This window comes from Homo sapiens, chromosome 15 (assembly GCF_000001405.40).
Source record: "Homo sapiens chromosome 15, GRCh38.p14 Primary Assembly".
Taxonomy (NCBI): domain Eukaryota; kingdom Metazoa; phylum Chordata; class Mammalia; order Primates; family Hominidae; genus Homo; species Homo sapiens.
This window is the reverse complement of record NC_000015.10, coordinates 42,763,697-42,785,633: the sequence shown is the minus strand read 5'-3', so window position 1 is coordinate 42,785,633 and position 21,937 is coordinate 42,763,697. Positions and strand designations below refer to the sequence as shown.

Below are 21,937 nucleotides of genomic sequence, written 5' to 3'. Positions count from 1 at the left end.
CCATATAAATAAGACCTGGAATTACTTTGAAAGAAATATATAGACAAATACCAATTAATATTTGCTATTTTTTCCCCCAGGTCAGTTCATGCTGAACTATATCAACTGTATAATTACAGAAAGTCTAGTTTCCCCTCTAGGGCAAGAATTTCCTTCCTCTTTGTGTTGCTAGGGCCTTGCATGTAGTAGGTGCTTAGTAAAAAGTCTGCAAGTGGCCGGGCACGATGGCTCACACCTGTAATCCCAGCACTTTGGGAGGCCAAGGTGGGTGGATCACTTGGGGCCAGGAGTTCGAGACCAGCCTGGCCAACATGGCAAAACCCCATCTCTACTAAAAATATAAAAAATTAGCTGGGCATGGTGGTGCATGCCTGTAATCCTAGCTATTTGGGAGGCCGAGGCAGGAGAATCGCTTGAACCCCGGGGGCGGAGGTTGCAGTGAGCAGAGATTATGCCACTGCACCCCAGCCTGAGAGACAGAGCTTGACTCTGTCTCAAAAAAAAAAAAAAAAAAAAAATCTGCAAGTGAAAAAGTAATACACATTTCACACTGTAAAAAAATAACATAGCTGATTGATCTGACACCTGTTTATTTCATTATGGCACTGCGAAAGTTGATTATACAAATTAGGTCATTCTTGTCATAGTCAACTAAATCAATCAAGAGGCCAGGGAGAAAGTACTTGGGGCACATAGCACCTGCTCCAAGAATTTAATTTCTTACAAGCCCAGCTGCTGAAATGGCCTGCTGTGACTCCAAGACTAAATTTACATACCTCTGTCACTCACCAGTCAGAGCCTGCCAGCTCCCAAAAGCTTCTCTGATGCCAATGAACTTTCTTTCAAAACAGTATATGACATCTCTCTAATAAAACCCCCAACCTCTCCTTTGGTCTTTAGATATACCAGAGACCCACTCAGTCTATGTGTGTGCCCCAAATTGTCATTCTTGCTTCCCAAATGGAATGTTAATTTGGAGATTCATCTCTGTATTTTATTTGGAGTTCAACAGCACTTAACATTTTCCTGTTTAGAATTTTTAAAAATTCTCTAACACGCCGGGTGCCGTGGCTCACACCTGTAATCCCAGCACTTTGGTAGGCCAAGGCAGGCAGATCACCTGAGGTCAGGAGTTTGAGACCACCCTGCCCAACATGGCGAAACCCTGTCTCTACTAAAAATACAAAAAATAGCCCAGTGTGGTGGTGGGCGCCTGTAATCCCAGCTACTCAGGAGGCTGAGGCAGGAGAATCGCTTGAATCCGAGAGGTGGAGGTTTCAGTGAGCCGAGATCGCGTCACTGCACTCCAGCCTGGGCGACAAGAGTGAAACTCTGTCTCAAAAAAAGAAAAAAAATGTTGTTATAATTGACAGAGACTTCTATGAAAATAGATGAAATGCTTTTTACTTTTAAAGTGATTGTCAAATTAGGGTGTTATTGTTTTAGATTTTGTATTTTAAAATCAGCTTGAAAATTCTAATTGATCAAAATTTTAAAGTTTTATTTCGTAGGATTGGCATGACCTAAGTTTTTTTTTTCTTTTTCTTTTGTTTTTGTTTTGTTTTGTTTTTTGAGCTGGAGTCTCGCTCTGTCACCCAGGCTGGAGTGCAGTGGCGCAATCTTGGCTCACTGTAACCTCCGCCTTCTAGATTCAAGCAATTCTCCTGCCTCAGCCTCATAAGTAGCTGGGATTACAGGTGCCCACCACCACGCCCAGCTAATTTTTGTATTTTTAGTAGAGACAGGGTTTCACCATGTTGGCCAGGCTGGTCTTGAACTCCTGACCTCAAGTGATCTGACTGCCTCAGCCTCCCAAAATGCTGGGATTACAGGCATAAGCCACCATGCCCGGCCAACCTAAGTTTTCAAGGTGCTTTTTTTTTTTTTTTAACTCTCTTAATTATGTGTGGAGTTCATTTAAATGAAGAAATAAAATGATGTAAGATAGTCTCATAGTAATTTTTGATTCTTGCCTTTTTTTTCTCCCTTCATATGTAGAATTGCCAATGCTACTCCCATCCCTGGAGACTTGCTTCGAGAAAATACAGATGAGGTATTTCCAGATGAACAGCTTAGCGATGGAGAAAATGGCATCCCTGTTGGTGTGTCACCAGATAAATTGCCTGGATCTCTGGGACACCCCCGTCCCCAGGAGAAGGATGTTTGGGAAGAGATGGATGCCAACAAAAACAAGATAAAGCTTGGAATTTGTAAGGTATGAGTACCTTATAAACAACAGAAATTTATTTCTTACAGTTCAGAAGGCTGGGAAGTCCAAGAAGGAAGGCTAGGCAGATTTGGTATCTGGTGAGGGCTGTTTTGTGGCTCCTCCTTGCTGAGTCCTCATGTGGTAGATGGGGAAAGGGATCTCTTTTGGGCCTCTTTTGTAAGGACACCACTCTCATTCATGAGGGCTCTGCCTTCTTGACCTAATTACCTCCCAAGGGGCCCACCTCCTAATACCCTCACATTGGGAGTTAGAATTTCAACATGTGAATTTTGGGGGGACACAAACATTCAGACTATAGCAGGTGTATATGTTCAGTCATGGGAGTCATTTGCAAAATGATCTCTGGATCGATGTGATATGCCACAATGTGATTTGGCTGTTGACAAAGCACAATCTGGATGAATAGTAATCAGGAATGAGTAGTGGAAAGTAGACAGGGAGTCAGTGTCAGATTTTTCTAGTATCAGCTGTGGCTGTCTTTATGGCACCAGGAACAAACTGTTCTTATAGCAAAAAAAAAATCACTAGTGACATTCTCAGTTGTCAGCCCATATGGATATCCGTGTATGCGAGAGAATGAAGTGGCGCTTGACATGGAAGATCTTAGTTATTTTGGTTTCTGTCTTTTACTCACTATCACTATTTAATCTCAGTGAAATTTGAATGGTAGATAGTTTTGACCCTAAGTCCATTATTTGTCATCATGGTGATGTGCAGTTTATTGAATTTATAATGTATAGTGCTGTACATTACAAGCTCTCATTTTGAACATCTGGATAAAGCATTAAGCTAAATATTGAAGACAATTTACTAAGCTATGTGCTGTGCAGTTTAAGATACATCTTTTACCTTTAAGGAGCTTACGGTCTCTTTGGGTAGATATGTAGCTGCACAAGCAAATATAATACAAGACAGAACATTGTGCAAAACATTTAAAAAAATTAAAATGCATGCAGATGGGGTGGGAGTTGGGAACATGTCTTATGGAAGAAGTGGTTGAAGTAGAAGTATAAGTAAAAATATGTACATGAGGGCCAGGCATGGTGGCTCACACCTGTAATCCTAGCACTTTGGGAGGCCAAGGTGGGCGGATCACCTGAAGTCAGGAGTTCAAGACCAGCCTGGCCAACATGGTGAAACCCTGTCTCTACTAAAAATACAAAAATTAGCAGGGTTTGGTGGTGGGTGCCTGTAATCCCAGCTACTTGGGAAGCTGAGGCAGGAGAATCGCTTGAACCTGAGAGGTGGAGGTTGCAGTGAGCCAAGATCATGCCACTGCACTCCAGCCTGGATGACAGAGTGAAACTCCACCTCAAAAAATATATATACATATATACATGAAAAAGTGCATGGATAGAGCTTATAACTTTAGGAATTTATTGGTCATCTAGGAGAAAAATTCAAAACAGCTATATTTATCTTTTAAAATCTACTTATACTATATATAAAAGATTTCATATATATCATGTCAAAGCATAGTAATATAAGCATGTGAATCCACCATCTGCCCTAAGAACTAGAATATTTTAACATATTCCTTCTATATTTATGCTTCTACCCTATCCCCACTGAGGTAACCGCTGTCTTAGGTTAGATTCCATAAAAGCAGAGCTACAAAACAAACCTTAATAAGTTTAAATAATTGAAATCACACATACTATGTTCTCTAAAAATATTGGAGTTAATCTAGTAATCAGTGACATAAAGACAACAGGAAAATCTCTAAACACTTGGAAATTATACAGCATATTTCTGTATAATCCATGGGTCAGAGAGGAAGCCTTAAAGGAAAATTTTTTAAATTTACATAGAATTGAATGAAATCGAAACCACAACATATCAAAATGTTGGGGAGGTAGCTAAAGCAGTACTGAGAGAGAAATGTATAGCACTAAATACTTACATTAGGAAAGATAAGGTTTTACATCAATAGTCTAAATCCTACCTCAAGAAAGTAGAAAAAGAAGCAGCAGAATAAGCTAAGACAAGCAGAAAGAAGGTAATGAATATCTCTGTTACTGTATTGCAAAAGTTTTGGTGTGTTGTATTTTTATTCTCATTCTGTTCTGAATATTTTTCCGTAATGATTTTTTTCATCCATGAGTTAAGTGCATACAAGTTTAGAGTTTTTACATCTGCCAGGTGATTAAAAGTTTTGTTTTTCTTTATATAATGACTATTTCTATTCTGTTCCTACTATTTTTTTTTTCTAGCATTAAAGCCTATTTTGTCAGATGTTAATACAGTTATGCCAACTTTCTTTTGGGTAGTACATGCCTGGTGTATCTTTTTTCTGCCTTTATCTTTCTATTTTTTCTCATTCTGTTGTGACTGTTGTTAAGTGGAGTATAAGTGGACAATCTTACGTCTTTATGTTTTAATTAGTCAGCTTAATTGATTTACATTTAGAATTATTATTGTATTTGTGTATTTATTTTCTGAGACAGAGTCTCGCTCTGTCACCCAGTCTGGAGTGCAGTGACATGATCTCGGCTCACTGCAACCTCTGCCTCCCGGGTTCAAGTGATTCTCCTACCTCAGCCTCCCAAGTAGCTGAAATTACAGGCACCCGCCACCACGCTTGGCTAATTTTTGTACTTTTAGTAGAGAGGGTTTTGCCATATTGGCCAGGATGGTCTCGAACTCCTGACCTGAGGTGATTTGTCCGCCTCAGCCTCCCAAAGTGGTAGGATTACAGGCACAAGCCACGACGCCCAGCCAAATTATTTTTATATGAACTTGTTTCTCTTTTAAATTTCTATTCAGTTTTTTAATGCCTTTTTCCTGCCTTTCTTTTCATTACAGATTTTGTTGGTATTTTTCATCTTCTGTTTTCTCTTTGTACTTACTGGGGATTTAAACATTCTAATTCTGTTCTCTTGGTAGTTGTCCTGGAAATTTCCCAGTTATTTTTAACTTAAAAGTCTAAAATTAAGCAATATCCTAACTACCTTTCTGATACTGCAAGGACTGTAGAACATTTTAACTTCATTCACCCTTCTCCCAACATTTTAGTACTCTTCTAATTTTAATTCTTTCTTTTAAAAAAAAAAAAAGAAAAAGAATGACTTGCCCTGGCACAGTGGCTCACACCCATAATCCCAGCACTTTGGGAGGCCAAGGTGGGAGGAACACTAGAGCCCAGGAGTTCGAGACCAGTCTGGGCAACATGGCAAAACCCTATCTCTACCAAAAAAAAAAAAAAAAAAAAAAAGTTAGCCGGGCATGTTGGCACGTACCTGTAGTCCCAGGTACTTGGGAGGCTGAGGGTGGAGGATCGCTTGAACCTGGGAGGAGAAGCTGCAGTGAGCCAAGTTTGCGCCACTGCACTCCAGCCTAGGTGACAGAGTGAGACTCTGTCTCAAACAGACAGCAACAAAGAAGAATGACTTGAATTAGATTATTATTTATTTTATTTATTTTTTGAGACAGAGTCTCGCTCTGTCACCTAGGCTGGAGTGCAGCGGTGCGATCTCAGCTCACTACAACCTCCGCCTCCTGGGTTGTGATTCTCGTGCCTCGTCCTCCCAAGTAGCTGGGAGTACAGGCACGTGCCACCACACCCGACTAATTTTTTGTATTTTTGGTAGAGATGGGGCTTCACCGTATTGGCCAGGCTAAGTCTTGAACTCCTGGCCTCAAGTAATTCACCTGCCTCGACCTCACAAAGTGCTGGGATTACAGGTGTGAGCCACCGCGCCCAGCCTTGAATTGGATTATTAATGTTGTTCTTTTATACAAGTAATGTTTATATGGACTTTCAAAGACGTTTACCATTTCCTTTCATTTCTGAAAGTCCTTGGCTCATCTTTCTTCCGGAAATATTTCCTTCAGAAGTTCCTTTACCTCATGTCTTTTGGTAGAGGACTCTTTCTATAAATGTATTTTCTTATCTATAAATGTACTTAGTTTAGCTTCATTCTTTCAAGATAGTTTATGCCAAATATAAAGTCGGGGGTTTTTTTGGTTTGTTTTCTTTCTTTTTTTTTTTTTTTGTGACAGGGTTTTGCTTTGTTGCCCAGGCTGGAGTGCAGTGGCGCAATCTCAGCTCACTTCAGCCTCCACCTCTTGGGTTAAAGCGATTCTCCTGCCTCAGCCTCCCGAGTAGCCGGGACCACAGGCATGCACCACCACACCTGGCTAATTTTTTGTGTGTATTTTTATTAGAGACAGGGTTTTACCGTGTTGGCTAGGCTGGTCTTGAACTCCTGGCCTCAAGTGATTCACCCACCTCCCTCCCAAAGTGCTGGGATTATAGGCGTGAGCCGCCACGCCCAGCCCAAATATAAAGTTATTGATAGTTATTTTTCCTCTGGCTTCAGTCACTGGTGTTCAGAAACTTACTGTCATTCTAATTGTTTTTTTCTTTTTAAGTGATTGTTTCCCCCACCTTCATCTTTCCTTCCCAGCTACTTTTTAGTTCTTGTTCTTGTCTGTGGTGTTCTGCGTTTTCACTATGATGTTTCTAAGCATATATTTATCTTGCTTAGGATATCTTGTGTCCCTTGAATATTTTTATTCATATTTTTGTATAAAAATATGTTCTGGGAAATAACAGCCATTCTGTATCTGAATGTTACTACCTCTTCATTCTTTCTATTATCTCTTTCTAGGACTCCAGTTAGACATATGTTATGGCTTTTTATTGTATCCATCATATCTCTTAATATCTTTTTTCATAATTTTCTTCTTATCTTGCTGGGTTTGTTTTGTTTTGTTTTTGTTTTTGTTTTTTTGAGATGGAATCTTGGTCTGTTGCCCAGGCTGGAGTGCAATGGCACGATCTCGGCTCACTGCAACCTCCGTCTCCTGGGTTCAAGTGATTCTCCTGCCTCAGCCTCCTGAGTAGCTGGGATTACAGGCGTGTGCCACCATGCCCAGCTAATTTTGTTTTGTATTTTTAGTAGAGATGGGGTTTTACTATGTTGGCCAGGCTAGTCTCCAACTCCTGACCTTGTGACCCACCCTCCTTGGCTTCCGAAAGTGCTGGGGTTACAGATGTGAGCCACCACGCCCGGCCTATCTTGCTGTTTTTTATTCTAGGTAATTTCTTTGGCTGTGTCTTCCACTTCACTAATTAATAATTTCAACCTTTTTTGTTTTTTTTTTTTTTGCTTACTTGCTGCTTAACTTGTTAATTGAATATTAAATATTAAGTTAATCAATCATTTAATTCCAAATAACCCTTTGTTGATCTTTGTTATAATAACCTTTATTTATTTAAACATTTATGCATAGCTGGTCTATATTTTATATTGGAACCAGTTCAATATCTGAAATATTTGGGAGTTTTAAATGTTTTTCTTAATTTTGACTATTATTTCTGTTGTGTCAATCATGGTAGCAGGCCTTCTCATGTATTGATTCTCTCTCTTTTTTTTTTTGGCTAATTAATTAATAATTGATGGGAGTTCTGGAGACCTAAATTGGGGTTTGGGGAAACTTTCCTTCAAGGAAGACTGGCTTGTGTTTCTGCTGCTACCCTGAGTATATCACCAATTTGAGCCAGTTAGGCATCCTCTTGAGGGTCTCTAATCAGAGTAGATGTCCCAGACTTCCCTCTGTCACCACACTCCTTATATAAGGCTTTGCTTCCCTGATAATGTGCTGCTGTAGGCACCTGTGCTTAAATAGTCCCACCCCCTGGGCTGCCTCACAGTCATCCTCCTTCTCCTCTGCCTCAGCTCCTTAGTAGTCTGGCCCCCAGGCTTTTTGTTGTTTTTTGTTTTTTAGAGGGAGAATGAGAAAAGAGGTATAGCGACTCAGGCTTGGCAGCCTCTCCTAAATTGTGAGACCACTTATGTCTCATAGGGAACATCCTTTCCAGGTTTCAGTGTCAGGTTAGTGGAATGGGATACTACAAGCCTCATGTCAGACATAATTCAAAAATCCAAGTCTGTTAAACATTTTTAGATTATTTATGTTTGTGCCAAAAGTATTTTAAAAACCTAAAATAATACTGAAACTGAGTATAAATTAAGAAAACACATTTAATAAAGAGTTAATAGATAAGAATGTAATGAAGTAAACTAGCCAAAATATCCTAATCATCTGAAAACACATCTAATCATTTATTTATATTATTTTGAAAGGCTTCAATGATTCCTCTCATGTGTGTTGCCTAGAATGTTTTTCATGATTTTATTTTATATTTTGGATAGGCTGCTACTGAAGAGGAGAACAGCCATGGCCAGGCAAATGGTCTTCTCAATGCTCCAAGCCTTGGGTCACCAATTCGTGTCCGCTCAGAGATTACTCAGCCAGACAGAGATATTCCACTGGTGCGAAAGTTACGTTCCATTCACAGCTTTGAGCTGGAAAAACGTCTGACCCTGGAGCCAAAGCCAGACACTGACAAGTTCCTTGAGACCTGGTATAAAATAGTGTATTTTTCTTTTTAAAGCTTCTAAGGTACCATTATTATTGTTGTCATTGTTGTTATTATTATTGTATATTTCTGTTACATAAAGTCTTTCAAATAAGAAATCCTTGCATTTTTGTAACACTGAGTCTATTCAGCTCCAATTTTCATCCATGTTTTTAATTATTATTATCCTGATTCTTAATTATTATAAATTCTATAGCATGTCCTTTGGCTTTGGAAGCTGAGCAGTAAGAGCTGATGACTTCCTAACACTAGGTACAAGTTAAATGAACATTTTTACAGTAACTTTGTTTAGAAAGTAATCTCTTCCACACAACAGTGTAGTGCTGGAGAGGGCATGATAAAGATGGCATTAGGCAGAGATGAGGGGAATACATAAAGGAGGGGAAAAAGTAATTCATACACAAGGGACGGTGAGTTCAATTCACTTTAGTGAAGACCCTCTAGGAGTAAGATACTGTGGGAAAACAGATACCAATAAGTATATCATGCTTGCCCTCGAGAGTTTGCAATCTACCTAGAGAGAAAGGAAGGTGAAACTTGAGAGATCTATATACATAGGTAAAGATTGTAGTGCATGGTTTTGAGGCACATTATCCCTACAACAAATTTTGATAACAGAAGACAGAAATGAAAAAAGTGTGGGATATATTTATGAATTATAGAAACTTCAGTAGTATTCGCAGCATTAAGACCTAATTTCCTTTAATAGTAGTCATGCCCTTCAATGGTGCATCTCTAGTGGCTACTATTGGTAATGAAATATTAGGTTAGAGGGACTGTGAATTTGACTAAGATGGTAATTACTGTTTCCCAAGACAATTCAGCCACTTCTGGCCTACTCCAATCTGGCGTCCATTTTAAACAATCCTTCACATATGTGTGTTCTTCCTCACATGGTAATCATTCATAGCTATGTTATGTAAGCACATGTCTACACGCTCACACGATCGAAAGGATGGATGGGGCATTGGTTTATACATTTTGAGTTGTGGCTCATATTGAGAATAAATATCAACATACAATAGGGATAAAAGCTCAGTTCAATAAAAAGTTGGTTTGACAAAATAAGGGAACTAAAAAGGGCCTTGCTGAGGAAAGAACTGAGCTCCATCTTCCAAAGCAGGATGTGGCAGGTAGAGAAGAGCATTATCAATGCTGTGAAACTTTCCTTGTGCTTTATCCATCTTTTTTTCTCTCATCTTTGTGTCCATATTAGTTCTTTATGGAGCTTATATATTATATAATAAATGTTTCCTTAGGACAGTTGAGTAACTTCTTTCCATTTCCTTAAGCCTGGAGAAAATGCAGAAAGATACCAGTGCAGGAAAAGAATCTATTCTCCCTGCTCTGCTGCATAAGCCTTGCGTTCCTGCTGTGTCCCGTACTGACCACATCTGGCACTATGATGAAGAATATCTTCCAGATGCCTCCAAGCCTGCTTCTGCCAACACCCCTGAGCAGGCAGATGGTGGTGGCAGCAATGGATTTATAGCTGTTAACCTGAGCTCTTGCAAGCAAGAAATTGATTCCAAAGAATGGGTGATTGTGGACAAGGAGCAGGACCTTCAGGATTTTAGGACAAATGAGGCTGTAGGACATAAAACAACTGGAAGTCCTTCTGATGAGGAGCCTGAAGTACTTCAAGTCCTGGAGGCATCACCTCAAGATGAAAAGCTCCAGTTAGGTCCTTGGGCAGAAAATGATCATTTAAAGAAGGAAACCTCAGGTGTGGTCTTAGCACTTTCTGCAGAGGGTCCTCCTACTGCTGCTTCAGAACAATATACAGATAGGCTGGAACTCCAGCCTGGAGCTGCTAGTCAGTTTATTGCAGCGACGCCCACAAGTCTAATGGAGGCGCAGGCAGAAGGACCCCTTACAGCGGTAAGAAATTTGTTTTTATTATTATTCTCTGTTATCCACTCAAGGTGCTATTAAGAAAGGACTAACAGTTGATCAACTAAGATACTTCAGTACAGGCCTAAATTTTGCAGATGGCCCAGGGAGTGATTTTGTACTAAGTTCTATAGTCAACCCTCCAATATGAAATTTTTCAAAAAGTGAGGTCTTCTTTTATTATATCAAACTCAATACATGAAATGTCATTATAACCTAATTTTAGAATAACATTTTTAATTAGACTACAAGCGCTAGCTATCTATGTGTGTTTATATATGTTACAATTTTTTGAAGTTCCTAGCAATTTTTACTATACATTTACTGAGGAAGGCATCTATTTAACCCTTCATGGTTTGTTCTTTACACTGTACACTGTTGGGAGGCCTGAGCCTTTAATTCCCTTTCTCTTTCATAAAGTCCACCCAGGAATTTCTCATACTTCATATTCCTGTTAAACGGTAATTTTCTAACATTGATGGCCACTGTTCAAAATGCAGAGTCCCAGGCCTCACTTCCAGAACTTTTGTTTTAGCAGGTCTGGGGAAGAGCGTGCTCAGGAATCCTCATTTTAACAAGCAGGTAGAGGCGGCATTTATGATACAGGTCTTCTGCAAAGGAAACTTTTGAGGAACGACTATTGTTTATTTTCAGTTTTGGGCATTCAGCTGGAGAAGCCTGTTATCCTGTTACCAGTAAACAGTGGTGCCCCTGGTGACTGTGTGAGGAGGAGCCCCAGAAAAGCCAGAGATGGCCAAGCAAAGCCATGAAAAGCCCCCAGGCTAAATAAGTAACTGTGGACACAAATCTTAGGCACCCACAGGTACATCTGTCCTTATGTGATGAGAGCTACCAGGTTTCCTTAAATTCCATAATCATCTAGCAGTCCCCCTCCCCCAACTCACCAGAAACAGCATTGTTCCCCAAACTGAAAGGTTTTCTATTAGAACACAATTCCACATCAAGTGCAAAACAGTGGGAAAAGATACCAGTGAAAATACATTTTGTGTACAGTTCTGAGAAATTTGCCTGTGCTCCAAAATAGGGAAATAAAGGCCTGCCTGCTTCTTCACCAGAGTTAGTTAGCAGGTCCCTCTTTCCTGGGACTGCTTTGTATAGTTAGGCAGGTTGTTTGCAGCATAAAGGAATCTAGCCAGGAAACAAATTAGGGCTGAAATCTACCCCAGACTTTGCTTTCCAAACTGTGCATCTTGGCACAGGGCTGTTTCCTTTTGGAAGGGCATTCTTTTCCAAATTGTACAAAGCTATCATGTGGGCTAGAGGGAGGTAACTACTAACTCCCTCCCTCCCTGCTTCATCCTTTCTCCCAACCCACCTTTCCTCTTTCCATTCATCCACTCTTTCCACCTTCCCAGGTTCACTTTGTTCTTTAACTCTATTATGCTGTGTACTAACTTTTGCTCTAGCATATTTCCAGCAGCATTCTGGTGTGCCTCCCTTCATGGAGGCTTTCTAAAACCTTTGCTCCATTTCTCCTGGTATTTTTTGCCCTCTCTCGACGCTGTCCTATTTACAAAGATTGTGCTCATGGTTCTCTTACACTACTGCGGTGTTTTCTCTGACAAGTTGTTGATAGGCTTGTGTTCATGTATGTGATGTTTGACCTTATTTTTAGATATCTTTGAATTATTTTTCTTTCTTTCTTTCTTTCTTTCTTTCTTTACTGAGACACAGTCTCACTCTGTTGCCCAGGTTGGAGTGCAGTGGTGTGATCTCGGCTCACTGCAACCTCCGCCTTCTGGGTTCAAGTGATTCTCCTGCCTCAGCCTCCCAAGTAGCTGGAATTACAGGTGCCCACCACCAAGCCCGGCTAATTTTTTTGTATTAATTGAAAGTCTCTAATGAAATGTCAGCTGCATCAATTGTATACTTATTTCTCAGTTTTTTATTTCTATTTTAGAGGCTAGGTCTTCCTCAGTCACCCAGGCTGTAGCACAGTGGAATGATCATACCTTACTGTAACCTTGAGCTCCTGGGCTCCAGTGATCCTCCCATGCCAGCGTCCCAAGTCACTAGGACTACAGGCATGAGTCACCACACCCAGCTAATTTTGCTATATTTCAGGGATAGCAAGTTGGCACCAACCTGTCAGGTTGGCAATGAAAACTTACATCTAAACAGTTACCTTAAACAACCTGAAGTGATTTGTAATGGGGCTGTTGTTGTTGTTGTTGTTGTTGTTTTGTAGAGACAGGGTTTTTCCATGTTGCCCAGACTGGTCTCAAATTCTTGTGTTCAAGTGGTCCTCCCACATTGGCCTCCCAAAGTGCTGGGATTACAGGTGTGAGCTCCTAAACCTGGCTAATTTTTCAATCTTTTGCAAGACGGGGTCCCACTGTATTGCCCAGACTGGGCTCAAACTGCTGGGGTCCAGAGATTCTCCTACCTCAGCCTGTCTATAATCTTGGGATTATAGACATGAGCCACTGTACCCAGTCAGTGCTTCATTTTAATATTACCTTTAGAAACAGTGTAAATGTGGCTGGGCACTAGTAACATCACCCATATGTTATCCATTGCCATTGCTATGTAACAAATTAGCCCAAATTTAGCATCGTTAAACAACAGTCATTATTTCACACAATTTCTTGGAGCTAGAAATGCAAGAGTGGCTTAGTTCAGTGGTTCTAGCTCATGTGTGGTCTCTCATGAGGTGGTTGTCAAGCTCTCAGTCAGGGTTAAAATCAATTTAAAAGTTTGGCTGGAAAGGGAAGATCCACTTCCAAGCTCACTCACATGACTGTTGGCAGGCCTCAGTTCCTTACTGGCTGTTAGCCAGAGGCTCTAGTTCCTCGCCATTTGGGCCTCTCCATAGCTGACATGACATCTGGCTTTCCCAGTGAGTGAGGTGAGAGAGACAGAAATGGGGGAAGAGAGGTGAAGAGAATGCATTCCCACCGAGATGGAAGCCACAGTGTCTTTTCTAATCTGTCAGAAGGGACATACCATCACTTCTGCCATATTCTATTAGTCACAAAGACCAACGCTGTACAATATATGAGGGTCTATACGAGGGTGTGAATACCAGGAGACACCTCTGGGTCATTGGGAACCATTTTAGAGGCTGTCTACCATTATTACCTTACGTTTATACTTTACAGAATACTTCCCTATTTGATCTTAACTGCAACTCCATGGAACAAGCAGAGGGAATATTATTTTCTCTTTTCGTACCGAGGGCACTAAGCCTCAGGACAGGGAGAATCCATGAAGAGTCAGACGCTGGTAGGCTAGACTTGGTGTTCCGTCCCTCGTGCCAGGAGATTACACCTTACACCAGTCTTCTGTCCCTACACCAGGGCATTGCCAGCATACTGAAAGACTTTCCTAATTGGCTTGTTTCTTAGAGATCGAGAAAAGGAAAGGGGGTTTAAAATAATGCACAAAGAAGGAACAGTACCAAAAGAAAAAGAGTAGCAGTATTTTTAATAACCTGTTAGCCAACATCTTTTGAGAGAATTCCTCTGACTGTATTTACAGGACTACCAATACCAGCACTAATAAAATTTAAATTAGCAGTTAGTTGTATTGCCTTAATTATGTTTATTTCTTCATACCTGTGAAGTATCTGCTAAGTTCCAGGCTTTACGCTATACTTCAGGGATAACAAGTTGGCACCAACCTGTCAGGTTGGCAATGAAAAGTTACATCTAAACAGTTAATTTAAACAACCTGAAGTGATTTGTAGTGGGGCTGTTTACAGGAATGGGGACACAGACATATCTGCCTAGGACTTAGGAGTGGAATTTTGGATATCTTTATTTTCTCAACTAATTTTTTTTTAGCATGGTAATTAAAAATCTTTCTGGGAAGGTTAAGGAATGCTTCAGGCCGGGCGTGGTGGCTCACGCCTGTAATCCCAGCACTTTAGGAGGCCAAGGCTGGCGGATCACGAGGTCAGGAGTTCAAGACCAGCCTGGCCAAGATAGTGAAACCCCATCTCTACTAAAAATACAAAAAACTAGCCAGGCGTGGTGGCAGCACCTATAATCCCGGCTACTCCGGAGGCTGAGGCAGAGAATTGCTTAAAAACCTGGGAGCCGGAGGTTGCAGTGAGCCGAGATCGCGCCACTGCACTCCAGCCTGGGCGACAGAGCAAGACTCTGTGTCAAAGAAAAAAAAAAAGGAAAGAAAAAAAAGAAATAGTTCCATGTGGCTTTCCTGGCAAGGCATGCTTTGCTTATTTGGATCCCTTGTATAAACTACAGTGACTGTGTGAAAGCTCATGGAGTTATTCAGAGCCTCCACTGACACAGGAATGATCCACACGTGTATTAATAGAGGTGTGCTTTAATAATGTGAAAAGGTGAAGACTCTTTGGGTTGGTTACCATCTGTTTAACTTCTTAAAATGGATTTTGCAGAAGGGTTGAATGTATGTATATTGACTGGGGATTGGCCAAATGTCCTCTGTCTGACCATGAATTCCTATTTTTGATCTGGAAAATTTGGTCATTATAATCATAGGAAAGTTTTTTTGTAATTGTATTTGATATTACACTTCAACCTATGTACAGTCAGAAAGGATCAGTGATTGGATGGACTGCACTGGAAAGTAAAGAAAGCCCATTTGTGAAGTGCTTGAGTACAGACTGGAATATCACTTGGGAGATTTTTGTGGAACCTCAGCATGCAATGGTTGATATACTCATGTGTGCAACATTTGTTGAGTGTCTACTGTGAGTTGGGTACTATGCTAAGTACCAAGAATAAAAAGCCCAGTTAGTCACCTCACTGCTTTCAAGGGTCTTCAATCTAGTAAAGAAACAGTTTAAGTGTTATAGGTGCTGTGATAGAAATTTTGTGTTGTAGAAGTTGGACTAGATTTATCCCTAAGTTGTCTTTATTATTATTATTATTATACTTTAAGTTCTAGGATACGTGTGCATGACGTGCAGGTTTGTTACATAGGTATACATGTGCCATGTTGGTGTGCTGCACCCATCAACTCATCATTTACATTAGGTATTTCTGCTATCCCTCCCCCTGCCCCCCACCCCACGACAGGCCCTGGTGTGTGATGTTCCCCACCCTGTGTCCAAGTATTCTCATTGTTCAATTCCCACCTATGAGTGAGAGCATGTGGTGTTTGGTTTTCTGTCCTTGTGATAGTTTGCTGAGAATGATGGTTTCCAGCTGCATCCACGTCCCTGCAAAGGACATGAACTCATCCTTTTTATGGCTGCATAGTATTCCGTGGTGTATATGTGCCACATTTTCTTAATCCAGTCTATCATTGATGGACATTTGGGTTCCAAGTCTGCTGTTGTGAATAGTGCCACAATAAACATACATGTACATGTGTCTTTATAGTAGCATGATTTATAATCCTTTGGGTATATACCCAGTAATGGCATTGCTGGGTCAAATGGTATTTCTAGTTCTAGATCCTTAAGAAATCGCCACACTGTCTTCTACAATGGTTGAACTAGTTTACACTCCCACCAACAGTGTAAAAGTGTTCCTATTTCTCCACATCCTCTCCAGCACCTGTTGTTTCCTGACTTTTTAATGATCGCCATTCTAACTGGTGTGAGATGGTATCTCACTGTGGTTTTGATTTGCATTTCTCTGATGGCCAGTGATGATGAGCATTTTTTCGTGTGTCTGTTGGCTGCATAAATGTCTTCTTTTGAGAAGTGTCTGTTCATATCCTTTGCCCACTTTTTGTTGGGGTTGTTTTTGTCTTGTAAGTTTGTTTAACTTCTTTGTAGATTTTGGATATTAGCCCTTTGTCAGATGAGTAGATTGCAAAAATGTTCTCCCATTCTATAAGTTGCCTGTTCACTCTGATGGTAGTTTCTTTTGCTGTGCAGGAGCTCTTTAGTTTTAATTAAATCCCATTTGTCAATTTTGGCTTTTGTTGCCATTGCTTTTGGTGTTTTAGTCGTGAAGTCCTTGCCCATGACTATGTCCTGAATGGTATTGCCTAGGTTTTCTTCTAGGGTTTTTATGGTTTTAGGTCTAACATGTAAGTCTTTAATCCATCTTGAATTAATTTTTGTATAAGGTGTATGGAAGGGATCCAATTTCAACTTTCTACATATGGCTAGCCAGTTTTCCCAGCACCATTTATTAAATAGGGAATCCTTTCCCCATTTCTTGTTTTTGTCGGGTTTGTCAAAGATCAGATGGTTGTAGATGTGTGGTGTTATTTCTGAGGCCTCTGCTCTGTTCCATTGGTCTATGTATCTGTTTTGGTACCAGTACCATGCTGTTTTGGTTACTGTAGCCTTGTAGTACAGTTTGAAGTCAGGTAGTATGATGCCTCCAGCTTTGTTCTTTTGGCTTAGGATTGTCTTGGCGATGCGGGCTCTTTTTTGGTTCCATATGAACTTTAAAGTAGTTTTTTTCCAATTCTGTGAAGAAAGTCATTGGTAGCTTGATTGGGATGGCATTGAATCTATAAATTACCTTGGGCAGTATGGCCATTTTCACGATACTGATTCTTCCTATCCATGAACATGGAATGTTCTTCCATTTGTTTGTATCCTCTTTTATTTCATTGAGCAGTGGTTTGTAGTTCTCCTTGAAGAGGTCCTTCATATCCCTTGTAAGTTGGATTCCTAGGTATTTTATTCTCTTAGTAGCAGTTGTGAATGGGAGTTCACTCATGATTTGGCTCTCTGTCTGTTATTGGTGTATAGGAATGCTTGTGATTTTTGCACATTGATTTTGTATCCTGAGACTTTGCTGAAGTTGCTTATCAGCTTAAGAAGATTTTGGGCTGAGATGATGGGGTTTTCTAAATATACAATCATGTCATCTGTAAACAGGGACAATTTGACTTCCTCTTTTCCTGATTGAATACCCTTTATTTCTTTCTCTTGCCTGATTGCCCTGGCCAGAACTTCCAACACTATGTTGAATAGGAGTGGTGAGAGAGGACATCCCTGTCTTGTGCCAGTTTTCAAAGGGAATGCTTCCAGTTTTTGCCCATTCAGTATGATATTGGCTGTGGTTTTGTCATAAATAACTCTTATTATTTTGAGATACGTTCCATCGATACCTAGTTTATTGAGAGTTTTTAGCACGAAGGGCTGTTGAATTTTGTTGAAGGCCTTTTCTGCATCTGTTGAGATAAACATACGGTTTTTGTCATTGGTTCTGTTTATGTGATGAATTATGTTTATTAATTTGCATATTTTGAACCAGCATTACATCCCAGGGATGAAGCCAACTTAATCGTGGTGGATAAGCTTTTTGACGTGCTGCTGGATTCGGTTTGCCGGTATTTTATTGAGGATTTGTGCATCAATGTTCATCAGGGATATTGGTCTAAAATTCTCTTTTTTTGTTGTGTCTCTGTCAGGCTTTGGTATCAGGATGACGCTGGCCTCATAAAATGAGTTAGGGAGGGTGCCCTCTTTTTCTATTGATTGGAATAGTTTCAGAAAGAATGGTACCAGCTCCTCTTTGTACCTCTGGTAGAATATGGCTATGAATCCGTCTGGTCCTGGACTTCTTTTGGTTGGTAGGCTATTAATTATTGCCTCAATTTCAGAGCCTGTTATTGGTCTACTCAGAGATTCAACTTCTTCCTGGTTTAGTCTTGGGAGGGTGTATGTGTCCTGGAATTTATCCATTTCTTCTAGATTTTCTAGTTTATTTGCATAGAGGTGTTTATAATATTCTCTGATGGTAGTTTGTATTTCTGTTGGATGGTGGTGATATCCCCTTTATCATTTTTATTGCGTCTATTTGATTCTTCTCTCTTTTCTTTTTTATTAGTCTTGCTAGCGGTCTTTCAATTTTGTTGATCTTATCAAAAAACCAGCTCCTGGATTCATTGATTTTTTGAAGGGTTTTTTTGTGTCTCTATCTCCTTCAGTTCTTGCCTTCTGCTAGCTTTTGAATGTGTTTGCTCTTGCTTCTCTAGTTCTTTTAATTGTGATGTTAGGGTGTCAATTTTAGATCTTTCCTGCTTTCTCTTGTGGGCATTTAGTACTATAAATTTCCCTCTACACACTGCTTTAAATGTGTCCCAGAGATTGTGTCACATTGTGTCTTTGTTCTCACTGGTTTCAAAGAACATCTTTATTTCTTCCTTCATTTTGTTATTTACCCAGTAGTCATTCAGGAGCAGGTTGTTCAGTTTCCATGTAGTTGTGCAGTTTTGAGTGAGTTTCTTAATCCTGAGTTCTAATTTGATTGCACTGTGGTCTGAGAGACAGTTTGTTATAATTTCTGTTCTTTTACATTTGCTGAGGAGTGCTCTACTTCCAACTGTGTGGTGAACTTTGGAATAAGTATGATGTGGTGCTGAGAAGAATGTATATTCTGTTGATTTGAGGTGGAGAGTTCTGTAGATGTCTATTAGGTCTGCTTGGTGCAGAGCTGAGTTCAAGTCCTGGATATCCTTGTTAACCTTCTGTCTGGTTCATCTGACTAATGTTGACAGTGGGGTGTTAAAGTCTCCCATTATTATTGTGTGGGAGTCTAAGTCTCTTTGTAGGTCTCTAAGGACTTGCTTTATGAATCTGGGTGCTCCTGTATTGGGTGCATATATATTTAGGATAGTTAGCTCTTCTTATTGAATTGATCCCTTTACCATTGTGTAATGACCTTCTTTGTCTGTTTTGATCTTTGTTGGTTTAAAGTCTGTTTTATCAGAGACTAGGATTGCAACCCTTGCTTTTTTTTTTTTTTTTTTTTTGCTTTCCATTCGCTTGGTAGATCTTCCTTCGTCCCTTTATTTTGAGCCTATGTGTGTCTGTGCACGTGAGATAGGTCTCCTGAATACAGCACACTTATGGGTCTTGACTCTTTATCCAGTTTGCCAGTCTGTGTCTTTTAATTGGGGCATTTAGCTCATTTACATTTAAGATTAATATTGTTATGTGTGCATTTGATCCTGTCATTATGATGTTAGCTGGTTATTTTGCCAGTTAGTTGATGCAGTTTCTTCCTAGCATCGATGGTCTTTACAATTTGGCATGTTTTTGCAGTGGCTGGTACCAATTGTTCCTTTCCATGTTTAGTGCTTCTTTCAGGAACTCTTGTAAGGCAGGCCTGGAGGTGACAAAATCTCTCAACATTTGCTTGTCTGTAAAGGATTTTATTTCTCCTTCACTTATGAAGCTTAGTTTGGCTGGATATGAAATTCTGGGTTGAAAATTCTTTTCTTTAAGAATGTTGAATATTGGCCCCCACTCTCTTCTGGCTTGTAGGGTTTCTGCCAAGAGATCTGCTGTTAGTCTGATGGGCTTCCCTCTGTGGGTAACCTGGCCCTTTCTCTCTGGCTGCCCTTAACATTTTTTCCTTCATTTCAACCTTGGTGAATCTGACAATTTTGTGTCTTGGAGTTGCTCTTCTCATGGAGTATCTTTGTGGTGTTCTCTGTATTTCCTGAATTTGAATGTTGGCCTGCCTTGCTAGATTGGGGAAGTTCTCCTGGATAATATCCTGCAGAGTGTTTTGCAGCTTGGTTCCATTCTCCCCATCACTTTCAGGTACACCAATCAAATGTAGATTTGGTCTTTTCACATAGTCCGATATTTCTTGGAGGCTTTGTTCATTTCTTTTTACTCTTTTTTCTCTAAACTTCTCTTCTCGCTTCATTTCATTAATTTGATCTTCAATCACTGATACCCTTTCTTCCACATGATAGAATCGGCTACTGAAGCTTGTGCATGCATCATGTAGTTCTCGTGCCATGGTTTTCAGCTCCATCAGGTCATTTAAGGTCTTCTCTACGCTGTTTATTCTAGTTAGCCATTCGTCTAATCTTTTTTCAAGGTTTTTAGCTTCCTTGCAATGGGTTCAAACATCCTCCTTTAGCTCGGAGAAGTTTGTTATTAGCGACCTTCTGAAGCCTACTTCTGTCAACTCATCAAATTCATTCTCCGTCCAGCTTTGTTCCGTTGATGGCGAGGAGCTGCAATCCTTTGGAGGGGAAGAGGTGCTCTGGTTTTTAGAATTTTCAGCTTTTCTGCTCTGGTTTCTTCCCATCTTCCCATCTTTGTGGTTTTATCTACCTTTGGTCTTTGATGATGGTGGCCTACAGATGGGGTTTTGGTGTGGATGTCCTTTCTGTTTGTTAGTTTTCCTTCTAACAGTCAGATCCTTCAGCTGCAGGTCTGTTGGAGTTTGCTGGAGGTCCACTCCAGACCCTGTTTGCCTGGGTATCACCAGCAGAGGCTGCAGAACAGCAAATATTGCAGAACAGCAAATATTGCTGCCTGATCCTTCCTCTGGAAGCTTCGTCTCAGAGGGGCACCTGGCTATATGAGGTGACACTCAGCCCCTACTGGGAGGTGTCTCCCAATTAGGCTACACGGGTGTCAGGGACCCACTTGAGGAGGCAGTCTGTCCATTCTCCGAGCTCAAACTCCATGCTGGGAGAAGCACTGCTCTCTTCAGAGCTGTCAGACAGGGACGTTTAAGTTTGCAAAAGTTTCTGCTGCCTTTTGTTCAGCTATGCTCTGCCCCCAGAGGTGGAGTCTACAGAGGCAGCAGGCCTTGCTGAGCTGCGGTGGGCTCTGCCCAGTTCGAGCTTCCCTGGCTGCTTTATTTACCTACTCAAGCCTCAGCAATGGCAGACGCCCCTCCCCCTGCCAGGCTGCTGCCTCACAAGTTGATCTCAGACTGCTGCGCTAGCAGTGAGCAAGGCTCCGTGGGCGTGGGACCCGCTGAGCCTGGCGCAGGATGTAATCTCCTGGTGTGCCGTTTGCTAAGACCTTTGGAAAAGCACAGTATTTGGGCGAGAGTGTCCCATTTTTCCAGGTACCGTCTGTCACGGCTTCCCTTGGCTAGGGAAGGGAAATCCCCCAACCCCCTATGCTTCCCGGGTGAGGCGATGCCCTGCCCTGCTTCAGCTTGCCCTCCATGGGCTGGACCCACTGTCCAACCAGTCCCAGTGAGATGAACCAGGTACCTCAGTTGGAAATGCAGAAATCACCTGTCTTCTGCGTCAGTCATGCTGGGAGCTGCAGACTGGAGCTGTTCCTATTCGGCCATCTTGGGACAGAACCCCTAAGGTGTCTTTCAATACTGCATGAAGGGGCTAGAAAAGTGACTGTTTAATCCTGTAGCCTTGTATATAATATGCAATTACAGGCCTGCCAAAAAATATTTTTGTTTTAGTCCATCTTTTCTGGGCTTCTATTCTTTGGATATGAGTTGTGGCTTATGATTTTTAGTAGTCCCACAAAATTTTTATAATTGGAAACCCCTTTAAAGACACATTAAACTTTCAATAATGAGTGACTTGTCTGGGGAGTGGGATGACAAGGTAAGGACAAAAGCAGCTTTTACTTTTCATTCACGTAGGTTTTGAGGCTTTAGGTTTTTAGTTTTGCCCACCTTTGTGGCAAAGACTGCTGCCTTCCCCACTCTTCCCCATCCACCCTCACCTCAATCCACATTGGCCAAAGTGGAAGATACCATGTATGGCCTCTTAAAAAA

At 40.8% G+C, this 21,937-nt stretch overlaps 1 protein-coding gene across 10 annotated transcripts in view; it reads left to right on the top strand.

The window, feature by feature from the left end:
• TTBK2 (tau tubulin kinase 2) overlaps window positions 1–21,937 on the top strand; it is a 182,271-nt gene that overhangs the window by 135,367 nt on the left and 24,967 nt on the right. For all 10 annotated transcript variants that reach the window (XM_006720402.5, XM_047432189.1, XM_005254173.6 and 7 more), the window contains 3 exons: window positions 1,999–2,215; window positions 8,392–8,603; window positions 9,911–10,499. In XM_006720402.5, coding sequence (XP_006720465.1) covers window positions 1,999–2,215; window positions 8,392–8,603; window positions 9,911–10,499 — 1,018 coding nt within the window. The remainder of the gene's footprint in view (window positions 1–1,998; window positions 2,216–8,391; window positions 8,604–9,910; window positions 10,500–21,937) is intronic.